Consider the following 21,477-nt stretch of genomic DNA (forward strand, 5'->3'; position numbering starts at 1 on the left):
GGGATTACAGGCGTGAGCCACCACGTCCGGTGAGTTCTCACTCTTAGGAGCCTGGATGGGTTCTCGGGGGAGTGGATTAGTTCCCATGAGAGTGCGATGTTATAAGCCAGGATGCTTGGTTTGGTGTCTTTTTGCACATGCCCACTTCCCCTTTGGCCTTTCTCTGCCATATTTTGACGCAGCACAAAAGCCCTCACCAGAAACCAAGCAGATGCTGGTGCCACGCTTCTTGTGTAGCTTTCAGAACCATGACCTGAATAACTTTCTTTTCTTTATAAATTACCCAGTCCCAGGTATTCCTTCACAGCAACACAAAACAGATTAAGAAATGAAGCTAGTAACTGGATTAGCTGGGATCCCAACTCAGATCTGTCTGCATCAAAGTCTGTTGGCAAGACAGGAGATTGTGGACAGAAAATAGAATAACAAAATTTAAAATTCCGAAGGTAGAACAACTTCAGGAAATGAAAATTTTGGGGTGAGAGTGCCTTAAGTCTGGTAAAAGTAAATATCACTGAACTTGGGAAGTTAGTGTTTAATGGATGCAGACTATTAGCTGGAGAAGATGAGAAATTTCTGGAGATAGATTAGTGATGGTTGCAGAACAATGTGAATGTGCTTCACGCCACAAAACTGTACACTTTAATGGTAAAATGGTAAGTTTTGTGTTATATATATTTTACCACCATTTAAAAAAAATCACAGAATTTGCAGAGGCTAATCTTTTAGATGAATTGTGCACTAAACTCCTGAAGTCATCCTGCAAGTCAGTAGTTGGGGTAGATGAGGAGGCTGTGGGTGGCCAAGGGCCAAAATCTGTATGAATGAACAAAAGTGACCAGGAGGTATTAAAGGATAGGATGGGAAGGATTAGAAAAGTGCATTTTTATGGGAGGTTTGAGGTGTGTTGATTTCTTGGTGATGAGGAGCCCAGAGTGCTGACCCTTTTCTAGGGCTCTTAATACAGACAGGGTGAGAAAATAGGCAGCTGCCACCAAGGGGCTAAAGGAGAAGGGGGTCACCATGGTTTGAATGCTTGTCCCCTCCAAAATTCAATTTAATTTTTAAATTTAATTGGCGTTGTAACAGTATTAAGATGTGCGACCTTTAAGATGTGATTAGACTATGAGGCTTCCACCTCATGGGGGTGGGGATTGGTGCTGTAACAAAAGGGCAAGTTTGGTCCTTTCTTGCTCTCTCTCACCCTCTCACTTTCCATCCTATGATGATGCAGCAAGAAGGCCCTCACCAGACGTGGGCACCTTGAAAACAGACTTCTCAGCCTCCAGAACTGTGAGCCAATAAATTTCTGTTCATTATAAACCACCCAGTCTCACGTATTCTGTTACAGCAACACAAAACAGACTAAGACAGGGCTCCTCTTGGGAGAGCCAAGAAAGCAGCATTCTGGGAGAGATTTTTTCAACATATAACAGCACAAGGATTCCAGAGGGGTTGTTGGGGCAGGGGGATTTGGGAGCATCACAGACTGGGCTTGGGGTAAGAAGGTACCAGGAATGTGAGGGATGGTGAAAACATCAACCTGCAAAAAGGTTCCAAAAGAAACAGATGCAAAACCTTGTTCTAACAGTAGACTGCAACTCTCACAGATAGTGTGTGAGCATTTGTAAAGTTGCCTCCAAAGAAACACTATTGCAAGCATCTCAGGGGCCAGGATCAGCCAAGTCCATGGCCTCTTGCTTTTGAGGAAACAATGGCAGCTCTCAGTGGACCATAGCTGGTGCCATTTGAGCCACAGAACTCCCTTTCCCTACACTCTCTTTTTTCATTTGTTTCTTTGTTCATCCATTCACTTAATAATCCTTGCTTGTGTTTACTATGTCTCTGTTAGGCACTGGGAAAACAATAGTAAGCAAAATCCAGCACAATTCTCGTGCTTATGGAACATATAGTTCATAGGTGGAGAGTAAGACTTCAAACAAAGGATGACAAAAGTAATGAGAAGCTGTGCTTAAGTGCAAAAGCTACACAGTCCTGTCATCTTTTCTCTTCGTTCCTAAATATTATTCTGTCTTCCAACCCTCTTCTGGTTTTTCTAATCTTTCTTTCACTCCTTGTATCTGTCTGTGTTTTGGTTTGTTTGTTTCTCAGCCTTTTCTCTCCTACCTTTCTGCTTCTTGTTCCACTCCTCCCTTCCCTTGTGTATCTGCTGGTCTTAATCTGAGACAAATATATAATGTACAACTAAAAATCATTTTAATATTGAATATTTTAGGGTTCCTTTTCTTAATTTTTAAGAGACCTGAGTTGAATGCTTTACATTTCTCACTGCAATGGAAAAAAAAAACAACTTAAATTGATTGCTTTCTGTTCTCTTTTTTGAAGAAAGCAGTCTTGTAAAAATCAGTTCCACAACTGATTTTTCTTCAAAATTACTGCAGAAAGTACAGTAGTCCCCCTTATTTGAAGTGGATACATTTCAAAACCCCTAGTGGATGTCTGAAACTGTGGAGAGTACTGAATCCTAGATATACTACATTTTTTCCTATATATACATATCTATGATGAAGGATAATTTATAAATTAGGCACAGTAAGAGATTAACAATAACTAATAACAAAATAGTACAATTAAGACAATATACTGTGATAAAAGTGGCTTCTGTTTCTCTCTCTCAAAATATCTTACCATTTTTGGACTGTAGTTGACTGTGGGTAACTGGAAGCACAGAAAACAAAGCCATGGAGAAGGGGGATTACTGTACATTCTTTTCATGAAAATTAACTCCAATATAGCAGCATTCTTACACAGTGAATATGCTTTTCCATTGAAAGTAGCTGCCAATTAAATACTCAGAGGTTTCTCTCTCTGCTCTTATGGCTTCCACAGAAGGCTCAATCTGAGCAGGGGAAGAGGAAGGTAAACCCCAGACTTTAACCTAAGCCAGAACCACAGGACAGACACACAGAGAAGATACTAGTTAACAGGACACCACTTCCTCTCCATGTCGACTTGTAATATGTATGCCATCTAACAAAGCAGTTTGATTTAGTTTGTTATTTCTTGGTTTACTCATGCATGCTATGTACATCTTGCGATCATGCATATGATTATTAGATTCCCAGGATGACTTTGGTCAAAATGAAATAATCTCCTTACTTCACCAGGAATAAACATATTTGACCACAGGGTAGTATAAAGTCAGGGAAGATGTAGGTTAACTGTTAGATTCTGAGGCTATAATGTATGGTCCTAGTAAGTGGGTGAGTGGAAATCCAGAGCTTCTCAAAGATTCTAAAATGCAAAACTCCAAGATGAACCATCATGTCCCTGAGAAGTCCCTTTAGGGCTCACACACCATGTCAACCATACCCTTTTATCCCTAAATTCTAACAGTTATCTATTTCTCTGGGCAATTAAAAGACCATTAGATAGAAGTGTAGAAACCTTGTAGTCATTCAATAAAATGATTAGGTTGCAAGTGTCAAAAGTCAGCTGCGCTGGGCCAGGCACGGTGGCTCATGCCTATAATCCCAGCACTTTGGGAGGCCGAGGTGGGCAGATCACCTGAGGTCAGGAGTTCGAGACCAGCCTGGCCATCATGGTGAAACCCTGCCTCTGCTAAAATTACAAAAATTAGCCAGGTGTGGTAGCGGGCACCTGTAATCCCAGCTACTCGAGAAGCTGAGGCAGGAGAATCGCTTGAACCCAGGAGGTGGAGGTTGCAGTGAGCTGAGATCATTAACACAGCACTGCAGCCTGGGCTACAAGAGTAAAGACTTTCTCAAAAAAAAAAAAAATCAGCTGTGCTATGTTTTCATATTTAGTTCTTAAATGTGATATCTGATCTGTGGGAAAAGGAAAATGGGAGTATAACGGAAAGAGCACCAATCTATGAGTCAGGACACCCCGGTTCTTGTTTTAGCTTACCAAAAAACTAGCTATAAGATATAAGGAGGAAGAAAGCCTTATTCTCTGAGTCCCAGTTTCCTTATCTGTAAAATCAGAATGTTACCCTAGGTGGTGTCTGTGTCTCTTCCAGCTCGTCATTCTGTGAGCTATGATGTAAAGACAGCTTAAAAAAACAAATTGTTGAGAGAAGATTGAGCTTGCCAAGTGAGCAAACAGAAACACGGCATTTTGGCTAGAAGCAGCCTCAAAACCATACAGCCCACACCCAGTATACTGCAAATGCCCAGCCTGAAACCTAGAAAGTTTAGGTTTCCTTGAGGTCTCAAGGCACAATAGCAGCAAATGTCCCTGCACCTGACTTCCACTTCTGGGCAAGTTCTTCCATATTACATAGTGGAATAGCTCTTATATAATCTATCCCTATTCTTACTTAATTGTCCACTGGCTCAAGAAAATATAAAGAATGTAATAATTTTTCTCCATAACAGAATGAGATTAAGAAATAATGTGATTGGCTTATGTTAGGCGAACATTGGAGAAATTGTCTTGGTCTTTTTAGCTCTATTAGGTACATATTAAAAGTTGACTGTGGGTAAGCTATAAAAAGCAAGAACTGTGGTTCTACATCATAGTAATGTATCCTACTTGTGGGCTGCCTACCAAATGGCAGGCACTTTTTAATCATGCTATGACCGATACCCACAATTCCATAAGGTAGGGACTATTTCCATCCCATTTTGCAGATGACAATACTGAGGCAAGGGGATTAGTTACTTGCCCAAGGTCATATAGGTGGTGTTAGTGGCTAAACCAGGCTTTGACCTCCACCCTGTTTGATTGAAAAGCTTGTATTCTGTCACTGCACCAGATCACTCTGCATGTCTAATGGAGATATCTATGCTTAGCTTCTGAACTTGCTAAGGAAAACAAAGACTACAGTGAATCTCCAAACAGAAGCTACTATACCTTGGGCCCCCTTGATTTCTTCTTCTGGGGTATGCTAACGATTGATTTATTAAAAATCAGAAACACAAACCCTCTAGGTATGGTATCACGGATGCAAGTGCAGGTACTGATAGAAATGCAGCAACAGTTGACATTCACTGTGATTTTGTAGAATGCTCTGAAACACTGCTAATAAAGAACAACCCATGAAATATACTATGTCTTGTAATGGAGTATTGGTAAACCATTTAATATGTACCTTCACCTGTGCATACAGACTTGATGGCTATGCTTAGAATGTGCTATCACAAGACCATTTCCTAAGGTTTTTCTTGGTTACCATCCTTTCCTGAGCTTTATGTTTATACTGCATTTTCCATTCTAAAATTCATTCACAAAGCCTTCTAGGCTGAGGAGCATTAAGCATTTCCCCCAGAGCCTCAGCATGACCTATTGCATTCCTCTCTTTGCACTTTTTGTCTGAAGACATCAGCAGAAATGGCTCTCAAAAGCCACACAAGTCACGCTGCTACTGCCTACTTACTGGAAGATCCCTCAGGGAAAGACAGCATTTCTTCTTTCCTAGAACTTTAGACTTAGAAAATAATCTGGAACAAGAATTAATCATTTGGTTATGGGGCGTGGTTATGGGGGCGTGTCTCATGTACCCCAGCACCTCTGCTCGATTTCAGTAAGGGCATGATGAGTTTCTCACCTTTGCACCAACATGGTGGCCTTGAGGGCAGATTAGGCATTATCTCAAAAAATTAGGAGATACCCATGACATTGGCATTGGGATTCCTCATCCAGTTTCTAGTGAACACCCACCTATATACAACTACTGCTCAAGGTGGGCAACAAAACAACTGGTTCTCACAGAGGCTCAGATGTGGGCCTTGCATTCATGAGGGAGGAAGGATGGGCTAGAAAACACAGTCTTGTTTGACAAGTGTCAGGGACTGCAGGTGACAGAGAAAGGATACAGTTGTGTTCTTTGAAATTAAAACACTAAGGCTAGGCATGATGGTGCATGCCTATAATCCCAGAACTTTGGGAGCCAAGGTGGGAGGACTGCTTGAGCCTGGGAGTTTGAGACCATCTTGGTCAACATAGCAAGACCTCATCTCTACTAAAAATTAAAAAATTAACTGGGTGTGGTGGTGCACACCTATAGTCCATCTTGGTCAACATACCAAGACCTCATCGCTACTAAAAATTTAAAAATTAACTGGGTGTGGTGGTGTACACCTATAGTCCATCTTGGTCAACAGAGCAAGACCTCATCTCTACTAAAAATTAAACAATTAACTGTGTGTGGTGGCGCACACCTATAGTCCAAGCTACTTGGGAGGCTGAGGTGGAAGGATCATTCGAGCCTAGAAGGTAGAGACTGTAGTGAGCTATGATCATGCCACTGCACTCCAGTCTGGGCAACACACAGAGTCCCTGTCTCTAAAACAACAACAACAAAAACTATTCTTGGACTGACAAATAAATGAAAACCTTGACAATTCATTCTAAAAACAGGGTTAGGGTTAGGGAAGAAGAGTAAGAGTGAATTTTGCTCCATTAGAAAAACACGTGACAGGACTTGAAGATTCATTTTCAAGCTTGTATTAACCAGATCCTTCTTTCTGTGTCTCCCTGTCTATTCTGTCTGGATCTCCCTGGATCTTCCTTGTGAACTGTTAGATTCCTGTAAATGTGGTGCAGTACCAAATTTGTGTGGATTGAGAAATTTGAAATGTGTTAGTTACACAAAGCAAAACAGGATTGAAAGATTTTGCAAAGCAACAAATCCCTTCAGAGTATTATCATCATACCTTGAAATATTGCTCAAATCTAAATGCTCAAATATCAGATTTACATTATATACTCACATATTATAAATTTGTGAATTTTTACAAAATTATAAAGCAATATGACAAACAGAAAGCATCCTTGGTTAGCTGAGGCCATATGCAGAGTGGCTGAAGCCCACGCCTTAGAGACGTGCATGGCACCCAGCAAAGGCTGGTGTCACTGCCGTGTTCCTGCCTGGCCCCTTTTTCATGGCACCACTTTCAGTGTGCTGGTGGGAAGGGGATCCTGGCCTAGGAGCCTTCCAGGGACGAGCCTATTTAATCTAGTCATTGCTCCCAATGGCAGAGGGAAAAAGAGTCTCCATGAAAGTGCCCATGAAGGAGGAGAGTTCTGGGATGAAAATGACTTCACGGGACTCCTAATCTCAGCAGGGCCCAGGTATACAATAAAAAAGCTACAGCTGGAAGGTACTGAGAGATGGGCTGATTCTATAACCCCTGGCTTTATAGGCAGCACAGCCATGATGGGAGGGGGTGTGACCCATGCCCAGCACAGGGCTTGCAGGAGGACAGGACTGTCCACTACCATGTTATGGATGGTCCTGCGGGCTCTAAGCTTCTGTAGGTGTGAGCCTGAAGGCCCCTATCCCTACTGGCTTCCTGACTTTAGGGAGGCGGAGGGAAGCAGGTAAGTGAGGACCCCCTCTGCCAAAAAAAGGATCAAAATAGTTCAACCAACATTTCAAAAAATGCTAAAAGGTGTCAGGAAGAACACTGGGCTCTGGAGTTTCAAAGACTCATGGGTCAGAATTTCCATCCTTAGACTGTTTCCAGACCAGCGGGGGAGTTGGTATGGGTAAAGACAGATGGCAGTAAAAACTTCTGCAGCGGGCATCCTGGGGGCGAGAGGCACTGTATGTACTAGCCCTCATCTGCAAATCATCCTCTGGGATGGGCTGCATGCCAGATGGTGGCTCTTAATTGCTTGAGGGCATTGAGAGAGCTGTGATCTTCAAGACCTACCTCTCCCAGGTGGCCTGAAATAGCACCAAGTCTGAAAGCAGGGCTCTGGGCAGTGACTTGGGAAAACAGGTGTGGATACCAAGTGTGATGAGGACCCTTGAGCTTAGCTTTGTTCCTGTGGTGGCAAGTGGTGGGTCTCACCCCCCAGACAACAGCCTGGACTATGAATAGAGACCACAGCCCCCGAGAACCCACCTGGCCCATTCCTCCTCCTTCCTCCTTCCCAACTCTCCCTCTTAGAAACTTTCTGACCCCCATGAGCAGGAGGGCAGAGGCTGCATAAAGAAGTGCAATTACTTGTGTCTTCTCTTTTGGTCCCAGACTTCTCATCCTCAATCCAGCCAACCATAAGCCTTAGCTGTCTACAGAATGCATCAGCTACATCTGCTCATGGTGGGGTCCTGCCCATTCCCAGCCAACAGGGCACCGAGGGATAGAGCCACAGAGAGAAGAGGGAGTGACCCAGGACTGGGGAGGTCTAAGAAGGCTCAGATCCAGTGGCAGCTTAGACGGCTGGCAAGCTACAAGGCCTCTTATCAATAACTTTAGCAGCACTGCTAGGGCAGTAACCGGGAACATGAAGAAGCAGGACTCTAGGATGAGTGACCACCTCTGATGAGTGACTTGCTGGGAGGCTCTGGGGACGGGCACTGGTCCCAATGCTGACCCAACATGAGGGTGAGAAACACTCAGAGAGGGGAGGTGGAGTCCAGCTCCCAGAACTGCTCTCAGCCATCAGCCAGCTGATTCCTAGATGCTGTAGTGGCATCAGACTCAGGGACTGGGGCCCAATCTGTCAAAGGTCTCTAGGAATCTGGAGATGCATTTGATGATGAAATGATGGGGAAGCTGGTCTGAGCAAGGGGCCTGCCCAGCATTCTCCCGGATCCCTATTGCTGTTTTTCCTACAGAAATGTCAAGCGGGAAACATTCTGCCCATAAAGGAAACATAATTAGGTAAAGCTTTGGCATCAGAAGAGACAAATCAGCCAGGAGTGGCAGCACACACATGTAGTACCAGCTACTCAGGAGATTGAGGTAGGAGGACTGCTTGAGCTCTGGGAGGTCAATGCTGCACTGAGCTGTGATTGTGCCACTATACTCCAGCCTGGGTGACACGGTGAGACCCTGTCTCAAAAAAGGAAGAGACTGTTGGGGACACCAGCAACCCAAGGTCCTACCAGTGGACTTCCTCAGGGCCAGTCATGTCTCTTCCTGCTTTTTCCTGTGTTTTTCTTTTCCTGTCAATTCTGAATTCTACTGAATCTCCTTGGGACTTTAAGCCTTTCTTAATCTTATTACTTATTAATTTCCATATTTTAATCTGAGTTATCATCTCCTGTCCTCCTTTGAAAAGAACATAAATGTTTATTTCTTCTGCAAATAATATGAAGTAGAAACATTTGCAAATCTCGCTGAGATAGACAAAAACTAGAGATTTCTTCATGGTGAGATTAAGGGAAAACATTTGGAATAGGGTATTGAATACTCAAGGGGGCATTCGTCCAATGTGTGGCTGCCCACAATCTGAAGCTCCTTCCTGTATCTGAGGAAATCATTACTGTGGGGTCCTGATGGAAGGTTGGGTCCAGTCTTCTGTGACAGAAGCTGAAAAGGCTGATACTCTGTCTGCCCTCCCTGTGGCAGCTAGAGCTCAGTCATATGACCAAAGGGCGACCCATCAGATGCTCTTGCCTGAGATTTTCATATGGAACAACAGATGCCAAGAAGCAAAACAGTACAGAATTCTTTCCATTCACGGTAGTTGGAGAGGTGGCTTCTGGCCGTGGTGATGCCCTCTGTGCTGGAGCCAGCTTCCAGCACTCAACAATGGCACTCTTCCTCTAACCAGGCTGTCCCCAGGTGGGACCTCTGGCCAGCTCTTGGATTTTCTCTTGGAATCTGCTCATACTGAGTCTGGTTTCTGCTTTCCTCTGAATGTTGTAATCCTTTCCACAAATTCATTCTCTCCCTAAGATAACGAGAGTCAGTTGCTGTTGTTTGCAACATAGAACCACTGCAGGAGTCCATGTGGGCACTGACGGTGGCTTCAGAAGGGGTGGCAAGAGTGGGACACAGGGAGGTGATACCACAGTAATGTCTGCCAAGGGGGCTTTGAAGTCAAAAACTGGGTGCTTGAAAATGCACACTTGACAGACAACAGTTTTCCCCTGGAGGATAAGAACGCATTCACAGAGCTCAAAATAGTTGGTTAGCATGATTAATGTGAACAGACAGACTGGATAATTCAGCCCCTAAAGTGGATTATTAGGCCAAAATCCCACAGCTGTTCTCTCAGAGAAGAGAACTGGGTTGCGCCATTTGTAAGGACCAATGGTGCACATCTCTTTCCACCTCTGCATCCAGTGACACTGTGTTGGCAGTTTGAAATCAACCCTGGTGGGAGTATTTGCACCATGGACATAGGCAGATGCTATAATTGAGGCTTACTCAAATTGGTTGTTAAACACCAACTAGCACACCACTGAACAATGTCCCTTACTAGCGGAGATGGAGGAGACCATAAAGGATAGGTTAAATTAAATGACTGACCCAAAGTTACACATCAGAAGATCATAGCAGAACCAGGACAATGAAGGTCTCCTAATACAACAAAGATGCTTCTGACCTTAAAAGCCTCTTTACCTTTGAACATGTTACCATTGGAATTTTTAGTTTACTGGGCTCATGGTTCAGTCATTGTCTTTCTGAGTCTTTCAGTTATTTTGTATTTACAAGTGTATTTTGGTGATCAAAGTCCTCGATCATGATAATGAAAAGCCTGTTACATCAAGATCATCTTGCTCCTTAAAATCCAAAAAGGTCAACAACAAAACAAAACAAAAAGGCAGTTTATTTTTCAAATACTACTCAGAAAATGCTGAATAGCCAGTGATGGCACCAGACTCAAGGTGGCCTACAGAAAGACTAGATCTGAGTCTTTTAGGTAGACTCTTACAGAGGGGTCTGCCCAAATTTTCCATGACAGTCTGAGTATCTCTCCTCTGCTCATCTTTTAAGAGCAACCTGAAGACAGGATTCAGGATTTTCCAGTTATGCTGAGGTTCAAATAATACAACCATTTTGTGCTTTAGTCATAAACAATAATAATTTGGCTCCATAATTGTTTCAGTTAATCCACAACTCAATAAATTTCTTCCTAAAATGTAAATCAAAATAGCTTTTCTGTCAGTCTTGCCTAATACTTTGACAGGATGTCACTGAAATTCCTCAGATATGATCATTATATTTATTTTCACTGTAGATGACTTATTAGAGGGAGAATTAGGAATAAGTACTCATATGCAGAACTCAAGGAAAACTATACACACACACACACACCTCTATATACAATGACTATACAGAAAATACTATACCTGAGAACCTAAAGAAAAACCATCCCCAGAAATTGTTTAGCACCATAACCAAATGCAACAACAAAAATGCAAAAATAGAATTAAAAACTGTTTTGGGCCAGGTGCAGTGGCTCATGCATGTAATCCTAGCACTTTGGGAGGCCGAGGCAGGTGGATCACCTGAGGTCAGGAGTTCAAGACCAGCCCGGCCAACATGGTGAAACCCCGTCTCTACTAAAAATACAAAAATTAGCCAGGCATGGTGGCAGGTGTCTGTAATCCCAGCTACTCAGGAGACTGAGGCAGGAGAATCTCTTGAACCCGGGAGGTGGAGGTTGCAGTGAGCCGAGATTGCGCCACTGCACTCCAGCCTGGGCAACAGAGCCAGACTCCCTCAAAAAAATAAATAATAAAATCCGTTTTGGTAAATGCATCTGTTACCTTTTGATAGTATATTTTTAGGTTTGTCTCACACAAATAAATGGGTAAATCTGCTAAAAGTCTACTGCTCCTTTTGAAAAAAAAATATTTAACAAGTGATGATGAAACCTTAAAATTACAGAGTAGCTCAAGGAAGGGTCCACCACATGGTCATAGTCACAGAGCGTTACCTGCTGTCATCTGATTGTACTGTGTTTGCAGCCGGCCAGCTCACCAGCTAATGTTCTTTCACTAGTCCCTGACATTGCCATTTTATTTAGTTGTTCTTTAAACTGTGAAGTCTCTCTTTAAGTCTTTTCCATTGTCTTCAAAATTCTACCCAGCAAGAGGAAGAGAGTTGGTGGTTCTCTTTTTTGTTTGTTTGTTTTTGAGATGGAGTTTTGCTCTTGTTGCCCAGGCTGGAGTGCAATGGTGGGGTCTCAGCTCACTGCAACCTCTGCCTCCCGGGTTCAAGTGATTCTCCTGCCTCAGCCTCCCAAGTAGCTGGGATGACAGACACATGCCATCTAACACGCCCAGCTAATTTTTGTATTTTTAGTAGAGACAGGGTTTCTCCATGTTGGTCTCGAACTCCTGACCTCAGACGATCTGCCTGCTTTGGCCTCCCAAAGTGCTGGGATTACAGGTGTGAGCCACCGTACCTGGCAAGTTGGTGGTTCTCAAAGTCTGTCTTCCCTAGATCACCTGGGAAATGGTTAGAAATACAAATTTTTAGGCCTTACTCCAGATCTACAGAATCAGAAACTCCGGGGTTGAAGGCCCAGTAATTGGTGTTTTAATGAGACCTCTAGGTGGTTGTGATGCATGCTAAAGTTTGAGAATGACCACTGTAGATAACTTAAGGTCTAACCAATGATTTCCTAACATCACTACTCATTGGATGAACTATAAAGAAAATTCTTAACCATACTCATCGTACATGCTGATTTGGTAATCAAACAATTTATTGGCTAAATAGGTACACATTGGAGCATAAAAGGAGTGCTACTAATAATTATGTAGAGACAAGGACATTAGGTGAAAGACTGCTCCAGTCAAAACTATGGTTCCTCTCTGGGTTCCATTAAAACCTAGACTATCATTTATTGGATCTGGACCAACTAAGAATGAAATAATTCTGTGACAGTATTTGGGCAGCTTCTCTAGATTAGAAAGTCCCATTTACATGTGTAAAATTGTGAGAGCATGACTTTGAGATATTATCTACTGGGAAGTCATAAGCATTCTGGTCACTCAAAAAATGCCTATAACAATGGGTTTTAACATATTTCTTTTGTGAGAGTGGTCCGTACTGGCCACTCCCATTTCATTATTACCCATTCTCTCCTTTAACTCTTATAAAATAGACAGATGCTAATACTCCCTTGAAATTCCTCTTTGATTCCAAATACCTTTTTCTAGAAAATCCCTATTTTTTCCCCTCAGTCTTTCATCCCTGGTCTCTCTACTGGTCTCTGAGCTTTCCAAAAATCCACTGCCAACAGGCTGGGGCACACTCAGGTTAAAGATCTTGAATGGCTTTTGGGGGTCAGCACAACACAGAGGCCTAACAAAAAATTCAAAGTTGGATGAAGGTGATGTGCCAGGTTGCACTGAAGAGACCTTGCATTCAGACTAAACTTTCCCATTAGCATCAGAGACCTAAACATTCTTCACTAGATTTTTCAAACAGGGCATCATGTGGCATGAGGGATGGTGAATTTAAAAATCTGAATTGAGTACAGACCAATATGTTATTCTGGGAGGTGAGGCAAACACGGTGTGATGTCAAAATGGCATTCAACTCTAAGTTAGATTATAGCTTTGCAGAATATAGCAATGACAACTGTCTTGCTGACTCTGGGAACTGGACCCAGTACAGGGTGGTGCACAGCTGGAAAGGCATTTCACTGTCACCACCAATGAATTGACAGCTGGCTAGATGGGTCCCAGACCACGTGGTCCTGCACACACCTTCACCTCCACCTTTACTTGGCAGCCATAGGTCTTCACCTGCTCTGCCAAGCAGATGTTACATGGTGAGAAGAAATGAAGTAATGCCAAGTAGGGTGAGCATAAGAAACTTAAAATGATGAAGCCCAGCCATGGAATTCCCAGGAGACAAGTGAGACCGAAAGAATACGGTATGCTCTAATTCCAGAGGATCCTGGCTCTTTTCAAATAATGGCTCTGTCTGATCATAATTATAAGATGCGTAGACACAAAAGGCACAAGGTGTTGGTGAACAGGAATTACAGCCATGAGCCATAGATCAGTTTTACACAAATGGAGTGTGGAAACAACTGTTGATCATGCAGTAGGTGCTGCATTTCTAATTTTTTGTGCAATTTCATGAATAAATTCCCCATGTTTTAAACTGAGGCTATTTAGGTTATATGAACTTTATACATTTTTCTCATTGATTGATTGATTGTAGGGTGGGGTCTTGCTACATTGCCCAGGCTGGTCTCCAACTCCTGGCCTCAAGTGATCCTCTTGCTTTGGCTTCCCAAAGTTCTAGGATTACAGGTGTGAGCCACTGTGCCCAGCTCATTTTATACATTTTTTCTATTTTTGAAACATTTCACTGATTATTTGTTTTTATGGGGTATCAATCTGATAGAAAAAGACTTTAAGATACTGAAATAGATATTGAAGCAATTCCTACATGTAAAACTTGTTTCTAATACATGATGAAGCCAGTCTGATGAAATAACATAATGTTTTATGATTGGCCAATCATATCACTTGGTATTTCCCGAGTGACAGAGTGTCTTTTTTATTCATGGGCTGCCAGAGCGCACCTGGGTTTATGCTAATGAGGTGACTCTTGGTGGGCCCCTACATAGTGTTGGGAGGTTATGGCGTTGGGGGAAGGGGGTTGGTTACCAGAGAGACCAAGCACACATGATTGCAGGGTTGGGGTTTCAAGTCAGCCCCACCTCTGGAAAGGGAAGGAAGGATGCTGGAGATCGAGTTCATTCACATGGCCAATGATTCAATCAATCAGGCCTATGTAATGAAGCCCTAAAAAAACCTCTGGATACTGGGGCTTGGTTGAATTTTGTTGGTGGACACACTAATGTGTAGGGAGGGTGATCTGCCCTGGCTCCATGTGGAGAGGCCATAGAAACTCCATGTTCCCTCTCAGACCTCACCCCTTGTGTCACTTCATTTGGCAGATTCTCTTGATTTGTATGCTTTATATAATAATAAAACTGTCATCATTAGTGTTTTTCTGACTTCTGTGTTCTGTTATAGCAAATTATTGACCAAAGAGGGTTGCGGGAACCGCCAGATTTATATCCAGCCTGTCATAAATGCTGTAGCCTGGGGACTCCCAAAGTGTGGCTGGCATCGGACATAGGGCAGTATTGTTGGAGATCATGCTTTCTAACTTGTGCGGTCTGCACTAAGCCTGAGTGGGCAGTGCCAAAATTGAGTTGCAGTGCACCCAGTTGGGAATGAAACTAAATAGCTGGTGTCAGACCAGGCACCCACCCTACACACCACCTCTGGTTGTGGCCCATGTGGCCATCAGCTGCTGCCCATGGCCAGAGGGGAAGGGTGACCTTGGTGGCAAAGGTGAGGAAGCTGCAGGGCGGCTAGCTCGGGTTGCTGGGTTTACATTTGCTAACTGTTGCTGCTCAGAGACCTATAAATAGTGGACATTTGGTTGAACTATTACAAAGAGAGCTACAGAAGCTAGAATACACCCAGAAACCTGCAGCTATGTACATATTTAGGATATGATCATGCAAGGCAGAAAAGATTTATCTGGGGTCTATGGATAAAGAATAAAGTCGTTCGGCCGGGCGCGGTGGCTCACGCCTGTAATCCCAGCACTTTGGGAGGCCGAGGCGGGCGGATCACGAGGTCAGGAGATCGAGTCCATCCTGGCTAACACGGTGAAACCCCGTCTCTACTAAAAATACAAAAAATTAGCCGGGCGTGGTAGCGGGCGCCTGTAGTCCCAGCTACTCGGGAGGCTGAGGCAGGAGAATGGCGTGAACCTGGGAGGCGGAGCTTGCAGTGAGCCGAGATCGCGCCACTGCACTCCAGCCTGGGCGACAGAGCGAGACTCCGTCTCAAAAAAAAAAAAAAAAAAAAAAAAAAAAAAAAAAAAAGAATAAAGTCGTTCTTGTTTTCCCTTGAGCCTTGAGCATGAAAAGTGTGCTGCTGGACTGTGATCTTACATACATTCTCTCTTTATTTCTTACCCATTCTGCCTGAAGAGCTGGCAACAATTTGAAATCCATCATCCCGGCTGTGTTTTGTGGATTAAACTACTTATTCTCATATGTTCTACCCATTTCCTTGTCAGGAGTGAATTCTGTGTATTACAAATAATTGATGATGTTGGGCACATCTCAGAACAAAAAAAAAAGGCACTGATATGTTTTTAATATTTTCCTGGCATAAATTCTTAACTCCTTTCCTAGCCCAGGGGGCCTTAAGTGATCCAGTCTCTGTCCCCCTCCCCTCCCCCATCTGTGGCTGCCACCTGCCACCCTCACTGACTCTGGCCACATGAGCTGTGCTGCTGGTTTTCTGCCATGTCCAATCTGTTCCCACCAGGGGTTGGCTCCTGCTGATTCCTAGACCTCTCCATGGTTCACTCACTTACTCCATAGAGGGCTCTGCCCCAGTGTTCCTCCTCAGAGAGGCTACCATTGACAACCCTACCCAGCACACTTTCATCCCTTTCTGCTCCTTCAACTTGCTTTGCTTTCCATCATTAGCTGACATTGCCTACATCATATAGTCATTTGTCTCCAATAGTAGAATGCAAGTTCTAGGAGGGCAGGGCTTTACTTCCTTTGTTTCTAGAGCCTAGAACAGTGTCAGGCGCATAGCAGGCTTTCTTTAAATGCTAGCTGAATAAGTGAAGAAATACAGAGGTCAAAATGGAAGAAAGTGTCCCGCCACTGCTACTTCATTTTTTCCAAGGTCTGGAGGTGAGAAATATTCAGGTACAAGGTAAAGTGACCTGTCCCGTGCTGGAAAGGTCTGTGCACCATATTAATGCTAACTAGGATGAAACCAGTCTTGGCATCATCCAAATGAGAGGATGCTCAGATATACAGGGAACCAAGAAAGCAGGCTATGATTTAAAAGTCAGAGGTTTTGGAGGCAGGGCAATCTCAGTCTGAATCCCAGCCTCACCTCTCATTATGCATGTGATCAGATTAGTATTAAAGTTTCTTCTTCTGAAAATAGGGATAAGAATGCCTATCTTTTAGGATTTCTGTAAGGGTTTCATAAAATGATGTAGAGAAACTAGTGCAATGCTTTTCTCTTGTGGGGAAAAAAAAAGCTAATATTTAGAACATGCTTTTGGTGGGAGGAGATGGCAGGGGGTCAGGGTGGGGAAGCGTAGGTGTGTCATGAGGGAACATATGGTTTGGGGCAAAGCAAAAGGAGAGTGGGAGGAATGATCTGTGATTGGCCTCATGGGATGATGACATCCCCAGAGTTAACACATTTTCAGGGACAAGCACATGGCGTCACCCGGATGTGAGTTTTCAAACCTTCCCATGTCAATTGCAATTTGGGAGTTTCCATCCACTCTGCCCCACCCTACTGCTTGGTAACCTTGTGGGAATGAGGAACCCATTCTTCTGTTCTGTATCCCAAATACCACTTTCGCCTCTACGTGCCCACTTTTTAAAATTTAAAATGTAAATTCCTCAAGTTGCCATGGCTCTCGCAATCTACTGATTGAAAATCACTGACACACAAAGAGAAGAAGGAGGCCACTGCAGGATGGAAGGACTCTATTTTTGTCTCCGTTTCTTTGCAAGGGCATTCTGTGGTCAGGTTTCCTAAGGGGTGATGCCTACACAGTCAGAGCTGACCCATTTGTGTATCTGGACTGCTACTTGGAAAGCAAGCTCTGAGGCTTTGTTCCAGCGTATCTGTAGCCCTTCCTTGTTTTACTAAACACACCACGAATCCTCTCTCGCTTCCTCCTTCATTATTTCTCTTACCGGGGGGCTCAGAGAACCACTTCGAGAGGGAAGTTCATCTCTTCTCGCTCCTATTCTGGCCTTGTTGTTTCCCGTCTTCGAGGTCCGCTGTTTTGCAGAAGTGATGATGATCTTTAGCTTCCCCTGGTCCCAAAGCCCATGGTCATGAATTGAGCCCAGGAAGCCTTGCCCTGAGAGCCGTTTTTGGCTTTGCCATACTTTGTGCTTGAAAATTAGATTACAGGAGGTGTCTACAGCTTGGCCCAGTTTGTGGCTTCCACATACTGCCAGTGAATACATGCCTACTTAACTTCAGAGCTGACAAGGCTTTTTAGTGCCCTAACAAACAGAATTTATTTGGATTTAAAATTTATCACCAGAAATGGAAAATGGATGGTCTTGCCAACGTTAGTAGCCAAGATTTCCAAGGTCTTGTTGAACTCAAATTTATCCCTAGCTCTTCAATAGATGTTCTGTTACTTCCTGTAAATTTCACCAAAAAATTTCTTTTTTCCTTTCTATCACTAAGATGTTAATGTAGTTTGATGACATCTTTGCATGGTCATTATAAGTATTTTAAAAATACATTGTAATCACCACCTCTAAGTTTACCAATTTTTTTTTTCTGCAATTGGGGTACTTATTGAGAACTAACAACAATGTTAGCAGCCAGGCGCCATGGCTCACGCCTGTAATCCCAAAACTTTGGGACGCCGAGGGCAGTGGATCACCTGAGGTCAGGAGTTTGAGACCAGCCTGGCCAACATAGTGAAACCCCATCTCTACTAAAAATACAAAAAATTAGCTGGGCATGGTAGCGAGCGCCTGTAATCCCAGCTACTCGGGAGGCTGGGGCAGGAGAATCACTTGAACCCAGGAGGCGGAGGTTGCAGTGAGCCGAGATGGCACCACTGCACTCCAGCCTGGGCAACAAGAGCAAAACTCCAAAAAAAAAAAAAATGTTACCAATAGCTTCATGTTTAATTGTGCTGGAAGTTGGGTTTTGAATTATGTTATCTATTGAAATCATAGCAAGATCTACACAGCATTATTTATGTGGTCTAGCTATGATTTAATCCCTGGTCATGGTTTATATATCATATAAGATTTATCACAATATCCTCTCATTCCTGTTGCTCAGAGTAATCTTTGTTCACCCTCCACCCCACCCCATTGCATCATAATTCTTTTTTAATTTGCTAAAAAAATGGGTGAAGATTTGGCAATACAATTATACAATCCAGCTTGTATTGGTTTAGACTGTGCACAATTACCAACCACTTCAAGAATAAAGGTAACCTAATTATTTTAACCTAAGATACAGGTGGCTTTAGGGTAACGTGATATATAAAAATGAAGTTTACAAAATCCATGAAAAACAGATTATCTACTATTAATTTCCAAAGGATTCTCTCCTAAAGGAATAATCACCAGATTTCTTTAACTAACAATTTTCCAAAGGAACATTGAAAACGTGATTTAAACTTTCAACACAAAATACATTTATAAGCAACATTTCAATAACATGCCTAATGTATAACGTGAGGTTGAAATTATTTCCATGTGCACTATCAGTTTAGGCAGCAATTTAGAAAGATCTTATTTATACTGACTATCATTTTATTGCACAGTCAAATTTTGTAGAATGATAGTAGCTGATGCAATGTATGGTGTAAATTTTCTACCCACCAAATCCCACTTTGAATACATAAGTCTTCTGTTATTCTCTAATTCACAATAACACCACCTTATTGTGTAGAATCCCATTGCAATAAATACACTTATGATGACTGGATCAAAGTAATTTTGTGATATGCCCAGCTTGCAAGTGGCTTGTGGTTCAGGGGCTGGAGGGTGCTGTATTCCCAGGCTTCAAGCTGGGGTCAAAGTGCTAAAGCTCCGTTAAGCAGGATGGAATCACTTGCAGATTGACATTCCACAAGGCAGTGTGTCACCTGCCCTAGTTCAACCTGCACTTCCTCAGAGGTGGGCACTAGCAATTTACTTCCAGCCTGAGCTTAAGGTCAAACCCAGAACTAGCAAGGATGTTTCTTACCAAAATTAAAACTTCCATAGGCCTTCTGAGACCTAAGCACCAGCAGAACATTTTAGAAAACATCTTTCCACCATTCCCTGGGTCACATGCATCTGAGGGCCACTCAGATTTTTCTCTTAGTGCCTAGCCCACAAGCCCAGCAAGTGCTCAAATATGTGGAGGTAGATGCATACATGCAAGAATACGGATAGACTTTTACTGTCTATCTCTTCCTCACTGCTACTTTCAGTTAGTCACTGATTACTTACAGTCATATTTTTCTTATGACTCTCAAATCAGATCCCTTTTCTCTAATACAGTACTGCTGGGACTCCTTTAACACCGTCCTCATAAACTGCTCTTCTGCTCAAACACCACCATTTTCTAACCTATCAAATCTGACGTTCTTGGTCTCTTGCAATAATAACATTAGAGCCCAACCATTATCGAGTTACCCAAACTATTCACAGGTATTTTCTCTCCTATCCTAGAACCTTCACACTCCCTCATCACCTCTTCCTAGTGTAGCTGAAAGAAAGCATAACTGGGGAATAAAAGATGGGGAACCTACTGATGGGTGATCTTGGGCAAGTCTTATTTTATTCTCTCATGAACCCTATGAAAGGCAGCCCCAATGCTCCCCAAGACACAGGAAGAAAAACTAAGCTACACAGTTATGGCAGCATCACGAGTCACGTAGATCAGGGCCCCCAAACCCTGGGCCATGGACCAGTACCAGTCTGTGGCCTGTTAGGAACTGGGCTGCATAGCAGGAAGTGAGTGGTAGATGAGTGAGTGAAGCTTCATCTGTATTTACCCCATCGCCTGCATTACCGCCTGAGCTCCACCTCCGGTCACAGCAACGGTGGTATTAGATTCTCATAGAAGTGTGAACCTCCTATTGTGAACTGTGCATTTGAGGGATCTAGGTTATATGCTCCTTTTAAGAATCTAATGCCTGCTGATCTGTCACTGTCTCCCATCACCCCCAGATGGGACTGTCTAGTTGCAGGAAAATAAGCACATGGCTCCCACTGATTGTACATTATAGTGAGTTGTATAATATTTCATTATATGCTACAATGTAATAACAAATAAAGTGTGCACAATAAATGTAATGCACTTGAATCATCCCCAAACCATTCCCACCTCCACCCCCTCACCCCCGATCCCAGTGCCTGGAAAAATTGTCTTCCATGAAACTGGTCACTGGTGCCAAAAAGGTTGGGGACTGCTGATCTAGATAATGAGAAAGCAAAACTAGAATACAGATTTTTGATTTCCAGACTCTAAGACTTTCTCTCCAGATCACAATGCACTGATACCATTTTCGTGATCTGATCTTAGAAAAGGTGGGGCTTAAAACCTAGATGACGGATTGATAGGTGCAGCAAACCACCATGGCACACAGGTACCTATGTAACAAACCTGCACATGTATCCCAGCACATGTATCCCAGAACTTAAAAGAAAAAAAAAAGAGTCCTACAAATTGCACTAAGTATGGAGATACTTCTAAAATGCTTGAAGTTAGACCTAAAATCTCGACTCATGATAAAGGAAATGAAAAGTGTATAATGACACCTTTATGTATAAAATGTCTTCTAAAACAAAGAAAGACCCAACTGTTAACTAATCAATGGAATTTACAAATCTAAAGGCAACACTGGCAATTAGGAAGACTGCACTGAGCTTGGAACAAATGGGGTGGAATGAGGCTGAACTAGCTTATGTGTCTGGCACTCTCCCGTGGATATTTGGCTAGGCTCTGCCTGTTCCTCAGAGAAGATAAAATGAAAGTCATAATAATAACACCACACTAGAATAAAAAATATGGCGGGTCAGATACCATCATCTTTACATTTAAGATTTGATTTTATTTAACAGTGAATCCACCTGTCCTGGGGATTTTCCCTCCTCTGCTTTATTTTTCTCTGTAGCACCCATTACCATCAGGCAGACTATATTATTTATCAATCGTATTGATGGCTTGTGTGTTAGAATGTAAACATCATGAAGGTAGGGATTTTTATCTGTTTTGTTCACTGCCATTCT

General features: G+C 42.9%; 1 protein-coding gene and 1 long non-coding RNA gene across 6 annotated transcripts in view, besides 1 other annotated feature; one reads left to right on the plus strand and one right to left on the minus strand.

The window, feature by feature from the left end:
- The window catches only part of ITPR2-AS2 (ITPR2 antisense RNA 2), a 103,881-nt gene that overhangs the window by 23,953 nt on the left and 58,451 nt on the right, over window positions 1-21,477 (plus strand). The window lies entirely within an intron of this gene.
- The window catches only part of ITPR2 (inositol 1,4,5-trisphosphate receptor type 2), a 497,843-nt gene that overhangs the window by 7,525 nt on the left and 468,841 nt on the right, over window positions 1-21,477 (minus strand). The window lies entirely within an intron of this gene.
- Window positions 16,475-17,674: an enhancer, noted in NCBI's record as "BRD4-independent group 4 enhancer chr12:26512284-26513483 (GRCh37/hg19 assembly coordinates)". NCBI's record gives its function as "activates an origin of replication core promoter dependent on BRD2, P300/CBP, MED14 and CDK7 cofactors, and independent of BRD4, by STARR-seq in HCT116 cells {active_cell/tissue: HCT116}" and the evidence as "EXISTENCE:reporter gene assay evidence [ECO:0000049][PMID:35650434]".

Source organism: Homo sapiens, chromosome 12, assembly GCF_000001405.40.
Source record: "Homo sapiens chromosome 12, GRCh38.p14 Primary Assembly".
In the NCBI taxonomy this organism is placed as follows: domain Eukaryota; kingdom Metazoa; phylum Chordata; class Mammalia; order Primates; family Hominidae; genus Homo; species Homo sapiens.